Raw genomic sequence first — 21494 nt, 5'->3', positions numbered from 1 at the left:
TGAGGCAGGAGAATCGCTTGAACCCAGGAGGTGGAGGTTGCAGTGAGCCAACATTGTGCCACTGCACTCCAGCCTGGGAAACAGAGCAAGACTCCATCTCAAAAAAAAAAAAAAGAAAAAGAAAAAGAAAGAATGTTCCACATAAAGATGTTCACAACAGTATTATTTATAATAGCAAAGAGCTGGAAACTATCTACCTATAGGTATACCTATAGATATACCTTCAAATGGGAGAATGGCTAAATGAATAATGGCATTATCTACTGAATAAATATTAGAGTTTTTTTTTCTTTTTAAATAGAGTCTCTGTTGCCCAGGTTGGAGTGCAGTGTTGCAATTTTGGCTCACTGCAGCCTCCACCTCCCTTGTTCTAGTGATCCTTGTGCCTCAGCCTCCCGAGTAGCTGGGATTACAGGCATGTGTCACTACAACCGGCTAATTTTTGTATTTTTAGTAGAGACGGGGTTTCACCGTGTTGGCCAGGCTGGTCTCGAACTCCTAATCTCAAGTGATCCACCCACCTTGGCCTCCCAAAGTGCTGGAATTACAGGCGTGAGCCACCACACTTGGCCTACATAGATATTTTAAAAGATGGTTATGATGCCTTTCTGGTAACATATCAAGTTTTCTAATAATGTAAAATATAGCATGAGGCTGGGTACAGTGGTTGATGCCCATAAATCCCAGCACTTGGAGAGGCCAAGGCTGGAGCATTGCTTGAGCCCAGGAGTTCGAGATCAGCCTGGGCAACATAGGGAGACACCATCTCTACATACAAAAGTCAGCCGGGTGTAGTGGCATGTGCCTGTAGTCCCAGCTACTCAGGAGGTTGAGGTGGGAGGATTGCTTGAGCCTGGAAGGTTGAGGCTGCATGCAGTGAGCCATGATTGTGCCACTGCACTGCACTCCAGCCTGGGTGACAAAGCGAAACCGTCTCAAAAATAAAATAAAATAATAAAATAAAATACAGCATGAACAACAACCTTACACCCAAATGTCTTCATAGGAGAAACAGCAAAAGAAAACACAGCAGGCCAGGCAAAGTGGCTCATGCGTGTTATCCCAGCACTTTGGGAGGCCAAGGCAGATGGATTTGACCCTAGGAGGCAGAGGTTGCAGTGAGCCAAGATTGCACCACTGCACTCCAGCCTGTACGACAGAGCGAGACCCTATATCGAAAAAAAAAAAAAAAGAAAAAAGAAAAGAAAACACAGCAAAATGTTCGTGGTTAACAGCACTATGGGTAAGTTCAGCTTTGCACTTTTCTATAACAACATGAATAACATATCAAGATTAATTATATTTTAAAAATATCTTTTTTCTTATCTTGAAAGTCATGTTTATTTTTCGTAAAACAATATGAATAAGGAGAAGAAGAAAAACATGTTAACATTTCATGTATTTCCTTCCAGTCCTTTCTCCACACATATTTCCACATCTATAAATAGATAGGCTTTTGACTAGGGAAGAAAAATCCCAAGGAATTTTGGAGGCATTCTCTCTGAGCTTGGAGGTCTCAGTTCCCTGGAAGTTCCCTGCAGCTCTGGGAAGCGCTGGGCGGCTGGCCCAGGCCTGTGGGGTGAGAGCTGCTCCCTGCCCAGGATCTCGGGCCAGGGTGAGCCCATCACCTCACCATCCTCCAGCAGAACGCTGCCCCTCATTGATCCCAGGCCCAACTTCTCCAGTCCAGCCTCCTGGCCCTGGTCCTGCTTCTTGCCTCCCTTTCCAGGGACCTCTAAGCAACCCATTTGCTAATGAATCCTGACCTTTGCAACATCTCAAGCCTCTAACCCGTGGGAGACTTTTGCCTCTTTCAAGTGGTTTGGCAGTTGTTGGCCACGGGTGGGGGATTTTCCGTTTCGGTTCCATGAGTTGGCCAATCAGCAGCAGATTTGGCCCCGGAGGTTTGGTGGGGCCGGGGCCTGCTGGGCCCTGCCCGGCCTCACCCTGCTCAGGTGGGGATACTTGCCACCAGGCTGTGCCAGAGCTGGCTGCCCTGGGCCCCTGGGAATCTGTTGGCAGCACTCAAGTGGCCCTGCAGGGCTGGCGACTCATTCACCCCCACAAGCAAGGCCAGCTCACCCTTCCCAGGCTCAGGGGCTCTCTGCTCTTCCTAAGAAATGCCATGCACACTGGGGATAAGACTCCCTGTCCCCACCCCAGTCCCGTCCCAGCTTGTGGCCACATCTGCCCCCAAGAATAAGATTCTGTGATTCAGAGCTTCTCTATTCCCCCTACACCCGCCCTCCTCCTCCCAGCCTCCGCCCCACCCCCACCATCCTGAGCTCTCAGCAGCTTTCTGATAACCACAGCTGTGTTTCTTTCTTGGTCAGAGGTGAGCATGAGCCGAGAGTCACTGGGCTTTGCCCAGAGCCGACTTTCCCTTGTAGCTCAGCGGCTTGTTTCCACTTAGAAGGCAAAACAGGTCAGGCCAGCGAGGCCCTCCCTGCTGGGTCAGGGTGAGGACAGGGCTGCGGGGGGGGCTGGGCTGGGGACCAGAGCAGGAGGAGCAGGCGCCCAGGGGCTGCCCTTGTAAGTGTGCTCCAGTGCCCAGCACGGTGCCTGGCACACAAAAGGCCCATTGGAGGATTTATGGGACAGACGCTCTTCCCAAGCCCCAAGGGGACGTGGTAGAGGGATGTGGTCACATTTTTATTTTGTGATGATGGGAAGAATTATTTTTGTTTCATTGTCTAAAAGCTTAAGTCTATCCAAAAAACATCTGCTAAACATCCACTGTGTGTGGAATAAGTACTTTTTTTGGTCACCCCATCCCTCACCCGCCGCCCCAGACTTTGTTTCTGTCTCTCTCATGTCTAAGGGGAGGAGAACAACGTTTTGCAGACCTGGTCTCATGACCGGGCCGGTGTGTTGGAATGTAAGATGACTTTCTTTAGCAATGTCCCCTTGAATCCATTAGACATTTATTTTAGGTTGAGATGGTACTTTTAAAACCATTGTTAATGGTTTGAGGAGGCCTCAGACACCAAGGTGCCCCAGAATTGATGGCTGAGCCCACAAGCTGGCTGCTTGCCAAGGTGAAGGCCTGAGCCACCTCTCCCACTCCACCTTTTTTTTTTTTTTTTGAGAGTTTTGCTCTGTCACCCAGGCTGGAGTGCAGTGGCGTGATCTCGGCTCACTGCAACCTCCACCTCCCGGGTTCAAGCGATTATCGTGCCTCAGCCTCCCGAGTAGCTGGGATTACAGGTGCCTGCCACTGTGCCTGGCTAATTTTTGTATTTTTAGTAGAGGTGGGGTTTCACCATGTTGGCCAGGCTGGTCTTGAACTCCTGACCTTGTGATCCGCCCACCTCAGCCTTCCAAAGTGCTGGGATTATAGGCATGAGCCACCATGCCCCGCCTATTTTAATGTTTAATATTAGAAGTTGTATTAGTCCATTTTCACGCTGCTGATAAAGACATACCCAAGACTGGGCAATTTACAAAAGAAAGAGGTTTAATTGGGCTTATAGTTCCATGTGGCTGGGGGGGCCTCACAGTCATGGCAGAAGGCAAGGAGGAGCATGTCCCATCTTACATGGATGGCGGCAGGCAAAAAGACAGAACTTGTGCAGGGGAACTCCTCTTTTTAAAACCATCAGATCTCATGAGACCCATTCACCGTCACGAGAACAGTACGAGCAAGACCTGCCCTATGATTTAATCACCCCCCACCGGGTCTCTCCCACAACACGTGGGAATCGTAGGAGTTACAAGATGAGATTTGGGTGGGGACACAGAGCCAAACTGTAGTTTGCCTGTAGTCCAGGGTGCTTGGGAGGTGAGGTGAGAGGATCGCTTAAGCCTGGGAGGCAGAGGTTGCAGTGAGCTGAGATTGCACCACTGTACTCCAGCCTGGGCAACAGGGGAAGACCCTGTCTAAAAAAAAAAAAAAAAAAAAAAAAAAGAAAGAAAGGAAAAAAAAGAAAAAGGCCAGGTGCGCTGGCTCATGCCTGTAATCCCAGCACTTTGGGAGGCTGAGGCGGGTGGATCACCTGAGGTTGGGAGTTCAAGACTAGTCTGACTAACATAGTGAAACCCCATCTCTACTAAAAATACAAAATTAGCCGGGTGTGGTGGCTCATGCCTGTAATCCCAGCTACTTGGGAGGCTGAGGCAGGAGAATCGCTTGAACCTGGGAGGTGAAGGTTGCAGTGAGCCGAGATTATGCCATTGCACTCCAGCCTGGGCAACAAGAGTGAAACTCTGTCTCAAAAAAAAAAAAAAAGAAAGAAAGAAAAGAAAAGAAAAGAGAGAGGTGGGCAGGTCTCTCCTACATTGTGTTATGGTAGTGTGGTGGTGTGGTCGTGTGGTGTTGTGGTGTTGTGGTAGTGTGGTATTGTGGTGTTATGGTAGTGTGGTGTGGTAGTGTGGTGTTGTGGTGTGGTGTTGTGGTGGTGTGGTAGTGTGGTGGTGTGGTGTTGTGGTGGTGTGGTAGTGTGGTGTTCTGGTAGTGTGGTGGTGTGGTGTTATGGTAGTGTGGTAGTGTCCTGGTCAAAGGGCTTTCTGCCACCACGTTATCTTCTTTTGCAGGCCGACTGTTGCAACTTTATTCTACTGCATTATACAAGCAGGGACTGTGCTATCTGGAGGCCAGACCAGACTGGTAGAGAAGTATCTTAAGTGTTTCCTGACACCACAAATCCCCAAACACACTTGTGGTTCAGTTTCTGCTCACGCTACCCGACTTAAGTAACTTGTGCAGGACTCCAATCATCTCAGCATTAAGCCCTCCTGCACTCAAGGCCTTGCTCTGTGGCCTTTGAGCCTCAGCTTCCTGAGCTGTAAAATAGAGCTAGTAAGACCTTTCCTATAGAGCTGTAGGGGAATGGGTTCACGGCACGGTGGAGCTGACTTGTACTGACTCAGGAGGGTTGACTGATGATTTTCAGAAATCATTGGAGCCAGTTTGTAAATACAGCCATCATTAACAATTAAGTTCTATACACTTACGATTAAATAAATTATATTAAAAACAAAGCTCTAAAGACTCAAGACTCCTGGCTTCCTAATTATCTTACTACATTTTACCTATGCCCTGAGGTTATTTATATCCATGGTCTCTGCCTTGTGGAAGTGCTAGTAATGGTGGCTACTGAACACCTCTTCCCAACTCCACATTCAACAATGTCACTCTGGGACCTCAAAACCAACTGCGCTGGGAGTATTTACACCACAGAAATGGGCAAATGCTCTCAGCCAGGGCTTTCTTTACTCTTTTGTTGATTTTCTAGATTTAAGAAAGCAATGGAGAAAATGTTAATATTGGCCAGGCACGGTGGCTCACACCTGTAATCTCAGCATTTGGGAGGCCGAGGTGGGCAGATCACTGAGGTCAGGAGTTCAGGACCAGCCTGGCCAACATGATGAAACCCTGTCTCTACTAAAAATACAAAAATTAGCTTGGTGTGGTGTCGCATACCTGTAACCCCAGCTACTTGAGAGGCTGAGGCAGGAGAATCACTTGAACCCAGGAGGTGGAGGTTGCACTGAGCCGAGATTGTGCCACTGCACTCCAGCTTGGGCCACAGAGTGAGACTCCAAAACAAAAAGTTAATATTGCAAATTAAACTTGAAAGTGAATTGTACTTCTAGCAATAACATTGTGAATAGTACAAAAGATAAGGAACTATTCTCCCAGTATTCAAAGCTGTTATCCAATTTAGCAAAAAAAAGTAAAGTTCCAATATATAGTTGTCCCTTGGTATCCCAGACCCAGCCACCCAGGTGGAAGAAGGAGCCCAGGACCTGGAGGACACAGAACAGTGGAGGTGTCAGGCCAGGCCTGTGAGGTTTGGAGCTGGACCTGAACAGGATGGGGCCTCCAACTCTATCACTCCCACCCACCAAAGGGCAAGCTGGGCCCTGGCAAGTTGCAGGCCGAGAGTTTGGAAGCATAGGCTCCAGGTGTGAGTTCAAACCCTGGCTGTGACATTTATTTATTTATTTTTTTATTTTGAGACGGAGTCTCACTCTGTCACCAGGCTGAAGTGCAGCGGCGCAATCTAGGCTCACCGCAACTTCCACCTCCCGGGTTCAAGAAATTATCTTGCCTCAGCCTCCCAAGTAGCTGGGATTACAGGTACGCACCACCACGCCCGGCTGATTTTGTATTTTTAGTAGAGACGGGGTTTCTCCATGTTGGTCAGGCTGGTTTTGAACTCCCGACCTCAGATCCTGACATTTATAAGCTTCAATCTTGGGCAACCACTTACCTTCCTTCCCTGAGCCCTTGTTGTCCCATCTGGACCCATTAGTTTCAGGACCCTCCCTTGGATACCAAAATCCACGAATGCTCAAATCCCTTATATAAATTGGTGTAGTAGTTGCATATAACCTACACATATCCTCTCGTATATCTGAAATCATTTCTACACTACTTATAATACCTAATACAATGTAAATGCGGTGTAAATAGTTGTTATACTGTATTGTTTAGGAAATAATGACAAAAATAAGAAGTCTGTACATGTTTGGTACAGATGCAACCGTCCATTTTTTTTGAATGAATATTTTAGATCCATGGTTAGTTGAATCCATAAATGTGAAATCCACAGATTTAAAGGGCCTGCCGAATGTCTTTTTTGTTTCACTGTTTCTTACTCATTGACATACATGAAAATGCCAATCAACCCTCATATTAGAATCACACTCACTCATCAATACCATGAGCTATTTCTGGGCCAGGCTCAGTGGCTCACGCCTGTAATCCCAGCACTTTGGGAGGCCGAGGTGGGTGGATCACGAGGTCAGGAGTTTGAGACCAGCCTGACCAACATGGTGAAACCCCATCTCTACTAAAAATACAAAAATTAGCCGGGTGTGGTGTTGGGCGCCTGTAATCCCAGCTACTCAGGAGGCTGAGGCAGGAGAATTGCTTGAACCCGGGAGGTGGAGGTTGCAGTGAGCTGAGATTACGCCATTGCACTCCAGTCTGGGTGACACAGCAAGACTCCATCTCAAAAAAAACAAAACAAAACAAAACAAAAACCAAAAAAAACTATGAGCTATTTCTTTTGTTGGGTCAGGTAGTAATCAAGCACTTATTTGTGGTAGGATTTATACTCTATGTTCACATATGTATGTGTACTCTCCCCCACCCCAACCTGCCCTCCAGATAGCTGGTTGTTCAGCATTTACCCCGCACAGCACAGAATGTGGCCATGGATGTGAAAATTCTTACCACAGAGACAGGGCTCCACGATGTCAGCTCAGCGATGGCCCTGTGGCTGGAACCCTTTGGAAAGGCGACATGTGTGTCTGAGTTGAGGTGGAAACTAGTTCTTTTTTTTTTTTTTCTGAGACTAAATCTCGCTCTGTCACCCAGGCTGGAGTTCAGTGGCATGATCTCGGCTCACTACAACCTCCTCCTCCCGGGTTCAAGCAATTCCTCTGCCTCAGCCTCCTGAGCAGCTGGGATTACAGGCGCATGCCACCATGCCCGGCTAATTTTTGTATTTTTAGTAGAGATGGGGTTTCACCATATTGGCCAGGCTGGTCTCGAACTCCCGACCTCGTGATCTGCCTGCCTTGGCCTCCCAAAGTGCTGGGATTACAGACATGAGCCACTGCGCCCAGCCAGAACTAGTTCTTTTACTTTATTTATTTATTTATTTATTTGAGATGGAGTCTCACTCTATCACCCAGGCTGGAGTGCCATGGCACGATCTGGACTCACTGCAACCTCTGCCTCCTGGGCTCAAGCAATCCTCCTGCCTCAGCTTCTCAAGCAGCTGGGACCACAGACATGTGCCACAATGCCTAGCTAATTTTTGTAGTTTTGATAGAGACAGAGTTTCACCATGTTGCCCAGGCTTGTCTCAAACTCCTGAGCTCAAGTGATCCTCTTGCCTTGGCCTGTCAAAGTGCTGGGATTACAGGCATGAGCCAATGTGCCTGGCTGAGTTATTTTACTTTATTTATTTATGTGTTTATTTATTTTGAGACAAGGTCTCACTATGTTTCCCAGGCTGATCTTGAACTCCTGGGCTCAAGCCATCCTCTCACCTCAGCCTCCCATGGTGCTGAGATTACAGGCATGAGCCACCACCCCTGGCCAGAACTAGTTCTTGTAATCATGGCCTGGAGGTCCCACTGTCCCTTCCCATGAAGACACCTTGGATGGGCGTGTTCTGGGCACAGGTGAGGTATCTGGGAACTCCAGGGGGGAGCCACCTGGTTTGGGCAGATCCAGTGCCCACCCATCTTGGGAGCTGGTCCAGGAACCCCAGGTTAACCTGGACTGAACAGGTTGGAAGGGCAGGATCAGGGCCTAGGTGACTTCTTGTGGTTGGGGGTCAGGGGAGGCCTTGAGGAGCACACTCTGAGTGAGCCCAGCCCAGCAGACAAAATTTGAGCTCTGGGTCATTTGCACTGAGTCATTTGTTCATTCGTTCAAACAGCATTCAAGAAGCATCGTTCAAACAGCATTCAAGAAGCATCTGGTCTGCACCAACACTGGGCTGGGTCACACAGCTCATTTATCTTTTTTTTTTTTTTCGAGATGGAGTCTTGCTCTGTCACCCAGGCTGGAGTTCAGTGGTGCCATCTCGGCTCACTACAACCTCCACCTCCCAGGTTCAAGCGATTCCCTTGCCTCAGCCTCCCGAGTAACTGGGACGACAGGTGTGTACCACAAATTTTTATATTTTTAGTAGAGACGGGGTTTCACCATGTTGGCCAGGTTGGTCTTAAATGCCTGACCCCAGGTGATCCACATGCCTCGGCCTCCCAAAGTGCTGGGATTACAGGCGTGAGCCACCGTGCCTGGCCATTTATCTTTCTTGATACTTAATATAGACTATTGTTACCTTTGCTGATAGTTTGTTGATACTGGAATGGATTGTTATGGATGATTACCATGTTCCAGACCAGGCTCTGTGGTGAACAAGGCTCTCATGGAGCTTGTAGTTTCATGGGAGATAATGAAGTAACCAGGAAATTCCAACATCGACCTGGGGTCTATGAATGGGCTTGGAAGAGGGGTGTCTGTAAATCCTCTGCAGTGGGGATTGTGTGTGTGTGTGTGTGTGTGTGTCTCAGGAGGGGGCTCCCAGGCTAGGACCTTCCCAAAGTCCAGACACAATTGTAATAGAGTGTAATCAGTGTGATGACAGGAAGTTCAGGGTGCAACAGACGGGCTGGGGGTGCGGGAGGGCTCCAAGGAGAAAGGCAGAGTGGAGAGCAAGAATATTCTTGGCGAAAGAAACAGGCCCTGGAAACTTGAGAGGGCTGCTGGAGTTGGTGGTGGTGGTTGTGGGGTGATAGCAGGTGCAGGAACAGACGGGCCTGATCAGGAAGATATGTAAATAGTGACTCTAAGCGCGGCTCTCTAGTTAAGCACATAAGCACATGTTGGTGGAGTGAAAATGATCAGGAGACAGGAAGCTTGCACCTGAACGTCTACAAGGGAGGAATGAAAGATTCTTGAATATCTGAGGACACCCTTCCTGGGGAATTTCATCCAAACCCCCTTCTTATGCCCCCTCATAGCTGAAATCCCCTCACAGTGTTCTGCACCCCTACCCCTTAGGTAGCTAGATTTAGCAAGTATACAGGTCACTCAGTTAAATTTGAATTTCAGATAATCCATAAATAACTTTTTTTTTTTTTTTGAGATGGAGTCTCCTTCTGTCACCCAGGCTGGAGTGCAGTGGCACAATCTCAGCTCACTGGCACCCCTGCCTTCAGGGTTCAAGTAATTATCCTGCCTCAGCCTCCCAAGTAGCTGGGACTACAAGTATGCACCACCACGCCCTGCTAATTTTTTGTATTTTTGGTAGAGATGGGGTTTCCCCATGTTGGCCAGGCTGGTCTCAAACTCCTGACCTCGAGTGATCCACCCACCTTGGCCTCCCAAAGTGCTGGGATTACAGGCGAGAGCCACGGCAGCCAGCCCACAAACAACTTTTTAGTGTATGTGCCGTACAACATTTGGCAACTCTACACTGCCAGCGCCTGCCTGAGCTGGTCCCTTGGCCAGCGTTCCCTCTCTCCAGCCATCCCTCTGGGTGGGTTAGCTGCTGAGTGAGATGGGCTGGGCTGAGCTCAGCATGAAAGCAGGAATCTGGGGTCAGAACCAGATGCAAGGAGGAGTCCAGGATCGGGAGGACACAGAGCAATGGAGGTGTCAGGCCAGGCCTATAAGGTTCAGAGCTGGACCTGAACAGGATGGGGCCTCCAACTCTATCACCCCCACCCACCAAAGGGCAAGCTGGACTCTGGCAAGTTGCAGGCTGAGAGTTTGGAAGTACAGGCCCCAGGTCTGAGTTCAAACCCTGACCCTGACATTTATAAGCTGTGATCTTGGGTGGCCACTTACCTTCCTTCTCTGAGCCCTTGTTGTCCCATCTATCAAACGGTAATATTAATACTAAACAGAGGTGGTTGTGAAGATTACAGGGGACATGGGGCACTCAGCACAGTGTCTGGTGTATCCTGAGTGCTCAATAAATGGTAGGCATGATCGTCACGTATGCTATTATGTATCTTTATACAATAATTATTTATGACAATAAGAAGTTATTATTCCTATAGACTGGACTTTTATTTCTGCTATCTTCCCAGCATCTAGAACGATGCCTAGAACACAGCAGGAGCTCAGCAATTATGTGCTGAAAGGCTACACGATGGCAGAACGGGCTTCGCCTGCAGGGAGCTGGTACGGGACCAGACACCCAGCATTTGGGAGGGTGGCCCATCCCACTCCCACGGACCAAACCACCCAGATTGCCCCAAGGATAAATAAACAAGACACAAGGGGACATAGAAACCCAGGCTGAAATGTGTGGCCTCCTTTCAGTTGAGTTCTGGGCAATCAGCTCCTTTCCAGCCTGTGACAGGAGGTGGGTGGCTGCAGGGGGCAGCTCTGAATCCTGACTCATGTCAAGGGCCTGTGAGGTGAACAGTCTTGATCCGTTCCTCCAAGGCAGACAGAGAGGAGCCAGCAAAACAAATGCAGGATGAGCAAGGCACAACTGGGTGTTCTCACCTGGCCCCACCTCTGCGGCTTCCACCACGCCTGGCTGGTATGGCCACAAGACGTCCCCAACACCCATGCCTGAGGACAGAGTACTGGCTCCATGGTTATTTGGACAAACACACCTTCAAATTCCTGGTACCCCATTGGAGATGCCCCACAGCCCTGGCATGTCTGAAAACCGAGCCCTTGACCTTCTCCCGCTCCAACCCTGCTGCTCCCTGGGTCTTCCACCTCTGTGAGTGGCACCTTCCTTCTCCCGGTTCTCCTGCCAGACAGCATGAGTTCTCTCCCCTCCCATACCCTCTTTCCCCATATCCTGGCTGCTCCTGCAGATTCGACCTCCTAAATACCTCCCAACTCTCTCCACGCCCATGACCACCCTCCGGGTCCAAGTGTGCCTTCCTTGTCGCCTGATTACTCCCTGCCACGACCTGGCCCTGTCCCCCAGCCTCGTCTCCAGCAGCAATTCCTGGGCATGGGCCCTTGCCGGGCCACCCTCGGTCCTTATGCACACTGTTCTCCCTGCTTTGCTAGGCTACTTCCTGCTCAGCCCACAGGAGTCTGCCTTCTGGAAGACCACTGAAATATTCAAAAGTCAGTTGCGGACACAATGACACGTCCCTTCTCAATATTTCAGCAGGTACCTTCCAAAATCAAGGACAGTCTCCTGCATGGCCAAAAGTCCATTTCCATACTCAGGAGTTTAGCTTTGATGCAGGGATATTATGTAACATGCAATCCATGATTAAATTCTCCAAAAGACCCTGAAAGCAGCTGCTTCTTTTGCTTTAATGCACGTTCCACTCAAGAATCACACACTGGGGCCAGGCACTGTGGCTCATGCCTGTAATGCCAGCACCTTGGGAGGCCGAGGCGGGCAGATCGCTTGAGGCCAGGAGTTCGAGACCACTCTGGCCAACATGGTGAAACCCCGTCTCTACTAAAAATACAAAAATTGGCTGGGTGTGGTGGCTCACGCCTATAATCCCAGCACTTTGGGAGGCCAAGGTGGGTGGATCACCTGAGGTCGGGAGTTTGAGACCAGCCTGACCAACACGGAGAAACCCTGCCTCTACTAAGAATACAAAATTAGCCAGGTGTGGAGGCACGCACCTGTAATTCCAGCTACTAGGGAGGCTGAGGCAGGAGAATCGCTTGAACCAGGGAGGTGGAGGTTGTGGCGAGCCGAGATCGTGCCATTGCACTCCAGCCTGGGCAACAAGAGTGAAACTCCGTCTAAAAAAAAAATACAAAAATTAGCCAGGCGTGGTGGTGCACACTTGTAGTCCCAGCTACTCGGGAGGCTGAGGCAAGAGAATCACTTGAACCTGGGTGTACCTGGGAGGCAGAGGTTGCAGTGAGCCAAGATTGTGCCACTGTACTCTAGCCTGGGCGACAGAGGGAAACTCCGTCTCATAAAAACCAAAAAAACAAAAAACAAAACCCCAAAAAGAATCACACATTGCATTTGGTCGCACGTCCCTTTAGTCCTTGTGAATCCCCCCGCAGCACCCACACTCCTCACTGGGGAGCTGCAGTCCCCTGTGTACAGCGGCTTCCTGCACCACCTGCGTTCCCTCTGGACTGCAAGCTCTTGAGAGCAGAATCAAACCTGTCTTGGGTTTGGTGGCCTCTCCACCGCCCCAGAGTGCTTGATGTATGGAATATTCTTTGAAGTAGAATTGAGGAGATGACACAGATCCTGTGTGCTCATAACCGTTCTTTGCTTTCATGATAAAATCTGTCGTCCAGTAAAGAGGGCTACAGTTGTGGTGTTTTTTTTTTTTTTTTTTTGAGATGGAGTCTTGCTCTGTCGTCCAGGCTGGAGTGCAGCGGCCCCATCTCAGTTCACTGCAACCTCCGCCTCCTAGGTTCAAGCAATCCTCCCACTTCAGCCTCCCAAGTAGCTGGGATTACAAGCATGCATCACCACGCCTGGCTAATTTTTTTATTTTTAGAGACGCGGTTTCACCATGTTGGCCAGGCTGGTCTCAAACTCCTGACCTCAGGTGATCCACTCGTCTCAGCCTCCCAACGTGCTGGGATTGCAGGCGTGAGCCACCATGCCCAGCCGTGCTGTAGTTGGGTTTTAATTCAAACTCTCCCTCAGCCTAAACTGTGGAAAGTGTGAAAGTGTGGAAGGAGGAAAAGCAGCTTATCTTTGCCTGGCATGTTGTGTTGGCGTGAGATGCGATGTCCTTTTCTAGCGTGGAGAAAGGACAAGACACCCAGGCAGAGGTGTAGGGGGAAGGGCAGGGGGGGCCAAGGTGGCAGCTCCTTTCTGGCTCTTTCTGAGCCAGGGCCTCTGATGTTGCCCATCCTTCTGCACTCAGGGTCATTCCCAGGAGGTCTGGGGAGTTATGGTGAAAAGGAGCAGGCGAAGCAAGGAGACAGAAAATGCCTTCTGAGTTATCAGCCTGCGGGGGCCATTCGGTCCCCAAGGCCCTCTCACTGGCACAGAGCGCTATACGCTGGCTAGAAAAACAACAGCCTGGACGGGGTCTTTGGAGGGGCAGGAAGGCCCACATGGCCCTGCGAGACGGAGAGGTCATTAAAAGTCACCAATATTTATTGACACAGCCATGACTGTTCCTGGGACAGCTGTGAATCAGAGGAACTGCCGGGAATAACATTCAAAGGCCAGACTCACACTGTCTGACCAGCCGCCTGCCGGCCTCCCTCCCTCCCCTTCGCCCCCAGCACCAGGACGGGAACCTCGGCTGGGGCGGGTCCTGCCAGGCCCGAGGAGTCCTGGGTCCTGTATCAGGCATTGCAGACACAAGATGAAAGCAACAGGCCACCTGCTTTCTAGAACTCACTGCATGGGGCTGAAGACAAACTTCATTCCTTCTTGTGTTCGGCACATGGATTGTGAGCCTACTGTGTGCCAGCCAGGTTTCCAAGCACTGAGCTTGGTTATTCACTCTGCATTCTTTGAGCATCTACTGTGTGCTAGGCATTGTCTAGACACTAGGCGTCGGTACTTATTCTTGGTTTATCTTACTTTTATTTTGTTTTATTTTTTTTGAAACAGAGTCTCACTCTGTCGCCCAGGCTGGAGTGCAGTGGCACAATTTCGGCTCACTGCAACCTCCACCCCCTTCGTCAACCTCTGCCTCAGCAATTCTTGTTTCTCAGCCTCCTGAGTAGCTGGGATTACAGGCGCGCACCACCACGCCCGGCTAATTTTGTGTATTTTTAGTAGAGATGGGGTTTCACCATGTTGGCCAGGCTGGTCTCAAACTCTTGACCTCAAGTGATCCGCCCACCTTGGCCGCCCTAAGTGCTGGGATTACAGGCATGAGCCGCCGCGCCCGGCCTCCTTTTGTTTTAGAATGCTTACTCAGGGCAACCTGAGGTGGTGAGGGGAAGCAAAGACCCAGCCTCCGTCCCCAGTCCCTTTGGGTTCTGGCAGCACTGACCCAGGCTGGGAGAGGGCAGTTTGCCCCATGCTCTAGCAGGGATCTGTGTCCCCCGAGGTCAGTCTGGTAGGGCGGAAGTACCTGGAGGGGACCGCACGAGTGAGCTCAGGCTGAGTGGCTGGCTGCTGCCCACAAGGGCTCCCAGGGCACCCCGCTCCCCATTGGAGTGGCCCCCGTTGCCAGGAGACACTGTGCAAAACAGTGCTGGCTGTTCTACAAACTGGCAAAGCCCCCAGGCCCCTGGGCTGCTACGAGGAGCCCAGTCCCCTAATTAGAACCGGCCGGCTTGGCCTGCACCCTCCTCAGGCCTGAGCCGGACCTCACTGGCCATAAAACCTGCAAACTCTTTCCTGCACGCTCCCCCAGGAGGCAGCCTGCAGGAGCCTCAGAGGCGAGTCACTTCCCCTGGCTGAGGGACGGGCAGGTGCAGCTGCGGCCACCTACCTCCTGGACCACAGACTTAGCAGCTTTGGGGTGCAGAGCTGGCCCTCCCAGGGCCTGGGACTGTGTGGGTGCTAGGAGGGGACTGCTAAAGAAAGAACCCCCACTGCCAGAGACCTGGCCTCCCGCCTCCCAGGCCTCTGCCGCACTTTCACCCACTTCCTGCAAAGCATATCAGCTCAGCTCAGTCCTAGGCTGCTTCTCTGGGCCTCTGCCACATGGGCACAGACACACTGTGTGGCCGTTATTTTACCTGACTATGAATTCCTCTAGGGTAGGCACTGAGTTTTGTCTATCTCTGTATCTTGGCACCTGCCCTGGGTTTGTCATAGAGCAGGAACCAGGGAGGTTTGCCGGGTAGCTGAATTAAAATCAGCTGGCTCTGGCAGGAGGGCGCCCACCTCCTTTTCTAGGAGCCAGAGATTTCTGAGCTGAACTTCTTTTCCCTGCAGACCCCATGAAGCTGGCGTGGCCTGGGCCATCAAAGACTCCAGCCAGGTGGACTGGGCTGATTCCAGCTCGTAAGCCAGCTCTGGCTAAGCCCAAGCCGAGGTTTCCACTTGGAGAAGGTCCCCATGGTTGGGCTGGCGGAGGACACAGCTCGGCACCTCTGACTAATCCCAGCTGTCCGACCTCTAGTCCCCGGTGCAAAGGGAACAGCTGCCACTGAACTTCCTCTGCAGCCTCCCCTTAGCCCAGCCTGTGTGAGAGGTGGCCGGGACCTGGCTTCTAGGTTGAGGCCACCCTGATGTCTTCTGGCTCTATTGCTGCACCCAAAGGCCACGTTAGTTTGCAGAAAGCCATGGTCTCAGCCCCAAGAACCGTGTGCAGTGGCTTCCAGCAGGGCTGGGCCAGGCTGAATATTTTCAGGAAAGGTGGCTACACTTTTCTGAGCTTTGCGAGTGTTTGTCCATACCAGAGGCAGTGGGATTCCCTGGTGGGAGGCGAGAGGGGAGGGCTGTCAGCTGAGACAGGGACTTCAAAGGGCTCCCTGGGCCCCCTGCTCGGGCCTCCAGCTGCAGGATGGGCTGAGCTGCCAGCCGGCAGCTGGCAAAACACAGCTCTGCTTGCCCAAAGCACCAAATAGCAAACAAGGATGATGCGGAAGCAGTGGCAGCTCTGGATCTCAGTGACAGCGGGGATCCTGCTGGAAGCGGGGGTTTGAGGGCGGCCTCGGACTGCAGCACAGGCAGGGTCTGCAGCAGCACCTCCCTGGGGCAGAGCAGGGCAGGGCCCCCCCGCCCCCCGCCCAGCGTCAAGTGGCCTCAGCTGGTCCTCAGCTGCCTCTTCCAGGGGCAAGCGACTCAGCTTTTGCTGATGATTTAGTTCCTAATTTGGGCCAGGTGTGGTGGCTCACACCCGTAATCCCAGCACTTTGGGAGGCTGAGGCAGGTGGATCACTTGAGGTCAGGAGTTCAAGACCAACCTGACCAATGTGGTGAAACCCATCTCTATTTAAATATACAAAAATTAGCTGGGCATGGTGGTGTGTGCCTGTAATCTCAGCTACTTGGGAGGCTGAGGCAGCAGAATCACTTGACCCCAGGAGGCGGAGGTTGCAGTGAGCTGAGATAGTACCGCTGCACTCCAGCCTGGGTGACAGAGTGGGACGCCATCTAAAAATAAATAAACAAGTAAATAAATAAGTTGGGCGTGGCGGCTCACATCTGTAATCTCAGCACTATGGGAGGCTGAGGTGGGCAGATCACCTGAGCTCAGGAGTTCGAGACCAGCCTGGCCAACATGGCGAAACCCCATCTCTACTAAAAATACAAAAATGAGCCAAGTGTGGTGGCGGGTGCCTGTAATCCCAGCTACTTGTAATCCCTTTAGGCTGTGGCAGGAGAATCGCTTGAACCTGGGAGGTGGAGGTTGCAGTGAGCCAAGATGGCGCCACCGCACTCCAGCCTGGGTGACAGAACAAGACTCTGTCTCAAAAATAAATAAATAGAAAAATAAACAAACAAATAAAATAGTTTCTAATTTGTCCATGTCCTGAGATGAGCCTACCAGGCAAGGTGAGGATCTGAATAATCTCTGTGTGGTGCAGTAGAGGAGGGAAAACTGGCATTTATTAAGCCCTAGCTGTATGCCCAGCTTGTGGGAGGTGTTGAGGATAGGATGGAGGGGGAGGCTATCATCTAGAAGCCACGGGTGAGGGCAGCAGCCCCCACGGGTGGGAGAGCAGAGGGAGGTGAGGCCAGGCCTCATGCTGCCCTGAACTCAGCTGGGGATGGGGAGCCCCAGGCCCCTGCCCTCGTGGGTGGGACCTGGCTGCGTTTCCCGAGGATGAGGTCTTTGGTGGGCCACATGGCTGGAAAGGAGGGAGGGGTGGGAGAGAGGAAGTGGTGTCTGGGCTTGAGGCTGCAGCTGTATCCTCCTCAGCCTCTCTCCAGCTCTCCTCGCCCAGCTCTGGGCCTGTCTCTCCTCCTGCCCCCACTGGGATCCTGGCAGAGGCTGCAAAAAAGCACCCCCCCGTCCAGTCCCCCGACCTGCCTCCTGGTCTCAGACATTCCCGTGTGACTCAGGAGGGTGGAGAAACGCCTGAAAGCTTCTCAGCATCCTCTTTCGTCCCCTGCCCGGCTGCTGGCCAGAATTCCCCACCTTTTCTGTGGGACCCGGATAGCCTGCTGGACTCCTCAGTCCTGCAGGGCACATAGGGCCTGAACCCTGCTTCCACTCAGGAAAAACCTGGCCGGTCCAAGGGTGTGGCTGGCGGGCCCAGTGAGAGGCCCCTGCCAACTGAGCTGCTGCTGCACGGCCCGGATTTGTACGCCACGCACAGGGTTGGCTTCTGAGCTCTCTCACGGACTTAATTGAAAAATATTTAAAAAATCGCTCCCATCGCTGGGTCATCCAGGCCTGGACAGGGGACCCTGGGCTCTAGAATCCATCCCAAGGCACACGCCTGCAGCAGCCCACCTCCTCTTCCAGGAGCCAGAGGGATCAGAGCCGAATTTCTTTTCCCTTCCGGCCCCTCGAGGCTGGCGTGGCCTGGACCATCGAAGTCTCTGGCCAGGTGGACTGGGCTGATTCCAGCTCATAAGCCAGCTCTGACCAAGCCCTGGCTGAGGTTTCCACTTGGAGAAGTGGAAGCCCCCGGTCCCGTAAGGCCCTTGTTCCTCCCGGAGGAAAGAAACAGCAAGGGCCAGGCCAGGTGCGGTGGCTCACGCCTGTAATCCCAGCACGTTGGGAGGCCAAGGTGGGAGGATGGCTTGTGTCCAGGAGTTCGAGACCAGCCTGGGCAACATAGTGAAACCCCATCTCTACAAAAAAATGGAAAATTAGCTGGGTGTGGCGGTGCATGCCTGTGGTCCCAGCTACTCGGGAGGCTGAGGCAGGATGATCGCTTGAGCCTGGGAGGTTGAGGCTGCAGTGAGCCATGATTGCACCACTGCACTCCAGCCTGGGTGACTGAGTGAGATCCCATCAGAAAGAAAGAGGGAAAGAAAGAGAGAGAGAGAGAGAAAGAGAGAGAGAGAGAGAGAAAAGAAGGAAGGAAGGAAAAAAAGAAGGAAAGGACAGGACAGGACAGGAAAGAAAGGAAAGGAAAGGGCAAGAGCCATGCCCAAGCCTGGGGACTCAGCTCGTGCGAGGCCTCAGTCCCCATGGAGTCCGGTTTACCAGGACTCAGGGAGGCCCTAGGCTTTTGTGGGGTAGGCAGCATGGCAGCTGGGCTGGGGGCAACACGCCTGCTGGGCACTGTCTTTGGGCAGCATTTTCCTTCCTCTCCTCTTCCTGGGAGTAGCTGAGAGCATCCCGGGATGTGTTTGGCAGGGCCCAGCCCCTTGTCAACAGTACCTTTGCCAAGGTCCAAACTGTCCAGGGATGGGAAGCCAGAATCCTGCTGACCCCACGATCCCACGTTTCTTGGAATGAGGAGAGGGAGTCGCTCCTGTTGATGTCGGCTCTAGGAAGGGTGACCTGTGTCAGGATTCACCATTCCTTTCGTATCAGAAACATTTACCTTTTTAAAAACAATACATCTTTTTTTTTCTTTTTATTCTTCTTCTTTTTTTTTTTTTGGTAGAGATGGTGTCTCCCTACATTGCCCAGGCTGCTCTTTTTTTTTTTTAATTTGTTTTTTTTTTGAGACGGAGTCTCGTTCTGTCGTCCAGGCTGGAGTACAGTGGCCAGATCTCGGCTCACTGCAAGCTCCGCCTCCCAGGTTTACGCCATTCTCCTGCCTCAGCCTCCTGAGTAGCTGGGACTACAGGTGCCCGCCACCACGCCTGGCTAATTTTTTGTGTTTTTAGTAGAGAAGGGGTTTCACCGTGTTAGCCAGGATGGTCTCGATCTCCTGACCTCGTGATCCGCCCGCCTTGGCCTCCCAAAGTGCTGAGATTACAGGCGCGAGCCACTGCGCCCGGTCCCCAGGCTGCTTTTGAACTCCTTGGCTCAAGTGATCCTTCTGCCTCATCCTTCCAAAGTGTTGGGATTACAGGTGTGAGCCACCACACCCAACCAAAAAACAAATGTGTGTTTGTTTTTTTTCTTGAGTCAGAGTCTTGCTCCGTTGCCCAGGCTAGAGTGCAATGGCACGATCTCAGCTCACTGCAAACTCTGCCTCCCGGGTTCAAGTGATTCTCCTGCCTCAGCCTCCTGAGTAGCTGGTATTACAGGTGCGTGCCACCATGCCTGGCTAATTTTTGTATTTTTAGTAGAGATGGGGTTTCACCACGTTGGTCAGGCTGGTCTTGAACTCCTGACCTCAAATGATCTGCCTGCCTCGGCCTCCCAAAGTGTTGAGATTACCGGTGTGAGCCACCGCGCCCGGCCTAAAAATAAATCTTAAGGCTCTGTATTGGACCTGGAATTCTGGCCCAAGACCCCAATGCAAGTGGAGGTGAGCAGGCCAGTGGAGTTCTCTCCTCTGCCCAGGGATTCTTCTCCATGATTTTACCTTCCTGTGACTTCCTGGAGAGCTAGGACAGTGACCTGAAAGGACACAGTTCCCCCTGGGTCTGGCCACTGGGCCTCTGACCCTGCAACCCCTGGTGCTTTCTGGGGAAGGTTCTCTGTCTGCCACCGGACCAAGTGCTGGACCCTGTGTGCATAGGTCGAAGGTCAGGGGTAGGCTTCTCCACTGCAGGGGTCTGACCTACCAGACAGCCCTCTGAGGCAGGGATGAATAACTTGCCGTGGGTGAGAGTTAGGGCTTCACCATAAGTATATGCAGATGGAGGTGAGGCTAATTCTCACTAGGACATGGTAGATAGAATAATGGCCCTGTGAAGATGTTTACACAGCAAAAGGGATTTTGCAGTCATGATTCAATTAAAGACCTTGAGATGGGATTACCCAAGTGGTCCTAACGTAATGCCAAGGGTCCTTATAAGCTAGAGGCAGGAGGATCAGAAAGAGAGAGGGAGAGAAAGGGAGAGACAGATGAGAGAGACACACACACGCATATAGAAACAGGGTCCGAGAGAGACAGAGACAGAAAGGAATAGAGACCAGAAGATGTTATGCTCTGCTGGCTTTGAAGAGGGAGGATGGGGCCAAGAGCCAAGGAATGCAGGTGGCCTTTAGAAGCTGGAAAGTGGAAGGAAACAGATTCTCCCTTAGAGCTTCCAGAAGGGATCAGCCCAGCTGACGCACCGCTTCCAGCACTTCTGGAGTCCAGAACTGTACGTTAATACATTTGTGTTGTTTCAAGCATTGATATGTGTCTGTTTGCTACAGCAGCTGCAAGAACCTCACAGGGGCCGCCCGTGGTCCTGCCTGCCCTGCTGGGTATTGGTTTCTCCTCTCCTGGTGACAGCTCCTGGACCTTCTTTTGGGAACCTCCACTCCCTACTCTCAGTCCTGGGTTTGGGTAGAGCTGGCCCATCATGCCCCGGCTCCTCGGTGCATGTGACAGAAAATTAATCAGAAGGGGGCATCTCCCTGGTCACAGTGCAGGTGGCCATGAGTCGACAGGGCTCTGTTCAGGGACATTTGCAGACACCGTGGGGAAGAGAAAATCACTCCTCCCTCAGAGCTGGCTGAGGATCAGTGTAAGCCTGGAGGGGCTGGCAGCTGCCTGAGCACTGTGGTGGGAGAGCCCACCTCTAGACGGACCCCACGCAGGGAAACCAGGGGCCCCGAGCCGAGAGAGATGACAGGGTGGGTGCTCCCTGGCCACCCTAGTCGAGCTTCAATCAAACTGATCTTGAGCTTTTCTGATACACAAAACGCTAACGCCCCTGTTTTGCTTAACCCCGTTTGAGGTAGGATTCTGTTACTTGCAACCCCAAAAGCCCTACCTGAATGTCACTTCCATCCATTCCTATTCTCAGGTGGGAGAGAGGGTGGAGTTCTGGCCAGCTGTGTGGGACCCTCGGCCCACCTTTATGTCAGTCACTGCCATTTAGTGTTTGTGGGGGTAATTATGAATTACTGTACTGCTCTCTGAACAATTTTATTTTGGGAACTTCCATTAAAATTGGAGTGTACTTCCTGCATGAATGTCTTCCATCTATCATGTCTATTGCATGGGAAAAAATGGAGAACTGCAATTTTGGAGGCCAGAGAGTCGGTGGACACGTTTAGCCTTTTCCTGGCAATTTGTATTCGGGAAACGTGTGCAGAACTCAGTTCCTGGCACTCAGCAGGAGCCACTGGAGCTGGCGATCATGAAACCAATTGGGGGCATGTTCACTGCTCTC

At 51.6% G+C, this 21494-nt stretch overlaps 10 annotated features.

Annotated features, from left to right (window-relative positions):
* Positions 1122 to 2053: an enhancer, noted in NCBI's record as "H3K27ac-H3K4me1 hESC enhancer chr1:9473599-9474530 (GRCh37/hg19 assembly coordinates)". NCBI's record gives its function as "activates a minimal SCP1, AML or CMV promoter by ChIP-STARR-seq in naive and primed H9 embryonic stem cells {active_cell/tissue: H9 hESC(naive and primed)}" and the evidence as "EXISTENCE:reporter gene assay evidence [ECO:0000049][PMID:30033119]".
* Positions 1547 to 1676: an enhancer, noted in NCBI's record as "active region_124". NCBI's record gives its function as "activates an Ori minimal core promoter by ATAC-STARR-seq in GM12878 lymphoblastoid cells {active_cell/tissue: GM12878}" and the evidence as "EXISTENCE:reporter gene assay evidence [ECO:0000049][PMID:35858748]".
* Positions 1687 to 1966: an enhancer, noted in NCBI's record as "active region_123". NCBI's record gives its function as "activates an Ori minimal core promoter by ATAC-STARR-seq in GM12878 lymphoblastoid cells {active_cell/tissue: GM12878}" and the evidence as "EXISTENCE:reporter gene assay evidence [ECO:0000049][PMID:35858748]".
* Positions 2054 to 2987: an enhancer, noted in NCBI's record as "H3K27ac-H3K4me1 hESC enhancer chr1:9472665-9473598 (GRCh37/hg19 assembly coordinates)". NCBI's record gives its function as "activates a minimal SCP1, AML or CMV promoter by ChIP-STARR-seq in naive H9 embryonic stem cells {active_cell/tissue: H9 hESC(naive)}" and the evidence as "EXISTENCE:reporter gene assay evidence [ECO:0000049][PMID:30033119]".
* Positions 13935 to 14777: an enhancer, noted in NCBI's record as "H3K27ac-H3K4me1 hESC enhancer chr1:9460875-9461717 (GRCh37/hg19 assembly coordinates)". NCBI's record gives its function as "activates a minimal SCP1, AML or CMV promoter by ChIP-STARR-seq in naive H9 embryonic stem cells {active_cell/tissue: H9 hESC(naive)}" and the evidence as "EXISTENCE:reporter gene assay evidence [ECO:0000049][PMID:30033119]".
* Positions 14778 to 15620: an enhancer, noted in NCBI's record as "H3K27ac-H3K4me1 hESC enhancer chr1:9460032-9460874 (GRCh37/hg19 assembly coordinates)". NCBI's record gives its function as "activates a minimal SCP1, AML or CMV promoter by ChIP-STARR-seq in naive H9 embryonic stem cells {active_cell/tissue: H9 hESC(naive)}" and the evidence as "EXISTENCE:reporter gene assay evidence [ECO:0000049][PMID:30033119]".
* Positions 15621 to 16464: an enhancer, noted in NCBI's record as "H3K4me1 hESC enhancer chr1:9459188-9460031 (GRCh37/hg19 assembly coordinates)". NCBI's record gives its function as "activates a minimal SCP1, AML or CMV promoter by ChIP-STARR-seq in naive H9 embryonic stem cells {active_cell/tissue: H9 hESC(naive)}" and the evidence as "EXISTENCE:reporter gene assay evidence [ECO:0000049][PMID:30033119]".
* Positions 21318 to 21487: an enhancer, noted in NCBI's record as "experimental_9584 CRE fragment used in MPRA reporter constructs". NCBI's record gives its function as "activates a minimal promoter by MPRAs in K562 erythroleukemia cells, with activity observed for both the introgressed and non-introgressed 1:9454250 variant alleles {active_cell/tissue: K562}" and the evidence as "EXISTENCE:reporter gene assay evidence [ECO:0000049][PMID:34662402]".
* Positions 21318 to 21494: a biological region, named in NCBI's record as "Neanderthal introgressed variant-containing enhancers experimental_9573 and experimental_9584".
* Positions 21325 to 21494: an enhancer, noted in NCBI's record as "experimental_9573 CRE fragment used in MPRA reporter constructs". NCBI's record gives its function as "activates a minimal promoter by MPRAs in K562 erythroleukemia cells, with activity observed for the non-introgressed 1:9454243 variant allele {active_cell/tissue: K562}" and the evidence as "EXISTENCE:reporter gene assay evidence [ECO:0000049][PMID:34662402]".

Source organism: Homo sapiens, chromosome 1 (genome assembly GCF_000001405.40).
Source record: "Homo sapiens chromosome 1, GRCh38.p14 Primary Assembly".
Lineage (NCBI taxonomy): Eukaryota > Metazoa > Chordata > Mammalia > Primates > Hominidae > Homo > Homo sapiens.
Note: the sequence above shows the minus strand (reverse complement) of the source record. Positions and strands in the feature narration are given on the sequence as shown.